Source organism: Homo sapiens, chromosome 1 (genome assembly GCF_000001405.40).
Source record: "Homo sapiens chromosome 1, GRCh38.p14 Primary Assembly".
Classification (NCBI taxonomy): domain Eukaryota; kingdom Metazoa; phylum Chordata; class Mammalia; order Primates; family Hominidae; genus Homo; species Homo sapiens.
Genome location: NC_000001.11, coordinates 19569611 through 19572846, shown reverse-complemented (window position 1 = coordinate 19572846; position 3236 = coordinate 19569611). Strand labels below are relative to the sequence as shown.

The 3236-nt window shown below is 44.6% G+C and overlaps 1 annotated feature.

Moving 5' to 3' along the window:
• Positions 2336–2585: a silencer, noted in NCBI's record as "fragment chr1:19896756-19897005 (GRCh37/hg19 assembly coordinates)". NCBI's record gives its function as "represses an EF-1alpha promoter that drives an FKBP-Casp9 reporter gene in an ReSE screen in HepG2 liver carcinoma cells {active_cell/tissue: HepG2}" and the evidence as "EXISTENCE:reporter gene assay evidence [ECO:0000049][PMID:32094911]".

Sequence of the window (3236 nt, the reverse complement as noted above, 5' to 3'; positions counted from 1 at the left end):
CAATTTACAAAAGAAAGGGGTTTATTGGACTAACAGCTCCGTGTGGCTGGGGAGGCCTCACAATCATGGTGGAAGGTGAAAGGCACGTCTCACATGGTGGCAGACAAGAGAAGAGAGAGCTTGTGCAGGGCAACTCCCCCTTATAGAACCATCAGATCTCATGAGATGTATTCACTATAACGAGAACAGCACAGGAAAGACATGCTTCTTTGATTCAATTACCTGCTACCAGGTCTCTCCCACAACATGTGGGAATTCAAGATGAGATTTGGGTGGGAACACAGCCAAACCATATCACAAGACAACTCCAAAAAATCCATCTCAGGCTGGGCACAGTGGCTCACACCTGTAATCCTAGTACTTTGAGGGGCCAAGGTGGGTGGTGACAGAAGTTCGAGATCAGCCTGGCCAACATGGTGAAACCCCATCTCTACTAAAAATACAAAAATTAGTCCAGCATGGTGGTGTGTGCCTGTAATCCCAGCTACTTGGGAGGCTGAGGCAGGCAAATCGCTTGAACCCGGGAGGCAGAGGTTGCAGTGAGCCGAGGCAATGCCACTGCACTCTAGCCTGGGTGACACAGCAAGATTCTGTCTCAAAACAAACAAACAAAAACAACAACAACAAAAAACAAAAAAAAAATCTATCCCAGCTCCAGAGCACCCCATGTTTCTGTCTGAAGCCTTCAGAGCAACTTCATCACAGTTCAGCTTCTCCGTCTGTCCAATTCTGCTTCTCTCACTCACTTGTTCACAGGCGTCAGTCCCTGGCATACTACCTCCCCATTAAACTGCTTGCCTGCAGATTTCAGACTCAGAATCTGTTTCACAGATGTCTTAGTCCATCCAGGCTGCTATAACAAAATATCTTAGGCTGGGGAATCAACAAACAACAGAAATCAATGGCTCATAGTTCTGAAGGCTTGCAAGTACAGGATGAAGGTGCCAGCAGAATTGGTGTCTGGCGAGGGTCTACTCCCCATACCTGGCACCCTCTTCCTGTGTCTTCTTATGGTAGAAGGGCGAACAAGCTCCCTTCGGCTCCTTTTAGAAAAGCACTAATCCCAGACCTAATTACTTCCCAAAGGTGCCACCTCTTAGCCCTACCACACTGGAGATTAAGTTTCAACATATGAATTGAGGTGGGTGACACAAACATTCACATCATAGCAGCAGAGAACTCAACCTAGGTCAGCTGACACTCAAAGTAGTCTTAGGAAGCAAACTAAAATGAGATCTCAGAGCTGGATCACCTGCCATTTAGCTGGCAACAAAGACCCTGTCACTGGTCATTTGTGGAGTACCAATAGCCTCTGGCACGCAATTGTGTGAGAATTGTTAAGATTTTCACTGATGGTGGACTAGAGTGGGATATGAGAGAAATAAACTGATGAGTGCAATCTACCAGGTGTTTGAGAGTTTTAAAGACTTTGGAATTGGATAGTGTCTTGCTTCCTTTAGGCTGCTATATCAAAATACCTTAGACTTGCTAATTTATAAATAATAAAAAATTATTTCTCACAGTTCTGGAGGCTGGGAAGTCCAAAATCAAGGCACCAGCAGATTCAGTGTCTAGTGAAGGGTTCCTGTCTGTTTCCAAGGTGGCAGCTTCTTGCTGTATCCTCACATGGTGGAAGGAACACATACCATGTCCTCACATAGTGGAAGGGATGGAAGGGCAAAATAGGTTTCTTCAAGCCGTTTCATAAGGGCACTAATCTCATTCACAAGGGTGGAGTTCTCATGACCTTAGCACCTCCTAAAGACTCTACCTCTTTTTCTTTTTTTTTTTTTTTGAGACAGGGTCTCACCTCATCACCCAGGCTAGAGTGCAGTGGCACAATCTCAGCTCATTACAACCTCCACCTCCTGGGCTCAAGTGATCCTCCCACCTCAGCCTCCCAAGTAGCTGGGACTACAGGTGCATGCTACCGTGCCCAGTTAATTTTTGTATTTTTCATAGAGATGGGGTCTTACCATGTTGCCCAGGCTGCTCTTGAACTCCTGGGCTCCAGTGATTTGCCTGCTTCGGCCTCCCAAAGTGCTGGGATTGTGGGTGTGAGCCACCACACCTGGCCCCACCTCTTAATACTATTGCATTGGGAATTAATTTTCAACATGAATTTTGGAAGGACACATTCAAACCATAGCAGATGACAATTGTTGGAGGCTATCAGTGCAATGGAGAACAATGTAAGGCTGAGGGTGAATAATCACCAACAGAAGGTGAATTCCTCAGTGTGATTCCTGGAAAAATCAGTATGTTGATATGAAGTCCTTATTGTCAAATATTAATTTGATTCTCTCCAGATCAGCAAAAGGGACTGAAGTGAAGCAGAATATCTAGTGTTTAGGATATCAGCTTCTTGCTAGGCAGGCTGAGGTGGGAGGATCACCTGAACTTGGGAGGTTGAGGCTGGAGTGAGCTCTGATTGTACCACTGCACTCCAGCCTCGATGACAGAATGAAATCCTGTCTCAAAAAAAAAAAAAGAAAAAAAAAGAAGGCGGGGCGCGGTAATCTCAGCACCTTGGGATGCCGAGGTGGGCGGATCACTTGAGGTCAGAAGTTTGAGACCAGCCTGGCCAACTTGGCAAAACCCCATCTCTACTAAAAAATACAAAAATTAGCTGGGTGTGGTGGTGCGCACCTGTAATCCCAGTTACTCTGAAGGTGGAGGTAGGAGAATCGCTTGAACCCAGGAGGCGGAGGTTGCAGTAAGCAGAGATTGCGCCATTGCATTCCAGCCTGGGTGACAACAGTGAAACTCCATCTCAAAAAAAAAGTAAAGAAAAGAAAAAAAGAATATCAGAGTCTTGTGGGCAGAGATTTGTGGCTTTTGTTCACTGATACTTCCAGATGTCCAGAACAGTGTCTGGCATATGGTAAGAGCTAAGTAAATATTTGGGTAATAAATGTCTGAATATAACCTTAATAATTTGATTAGACATTCCATGAAATCCCCAAGAGTAAGGAAATAGGGCTAAGAAAGCCTTAACAGAAAGAAAGACAAGAACTAGAGAAATGGATGGGGCTTAAATAAGAGAGCAACAGATAATAATAATTAATGCTAACACATTGAGCATGTATCTCTTTAGGGATTGCTTATACTAGTCAGTAAGTATCTGAGGCTCTTGTATTGATTATCTCATTTGATCCTTTCCACCACCCTAGGAAGTAGGTATTATGGTCTCCACTTACAGATGAGGACACTGAAGCAAAGAGAGGTTAAATGAG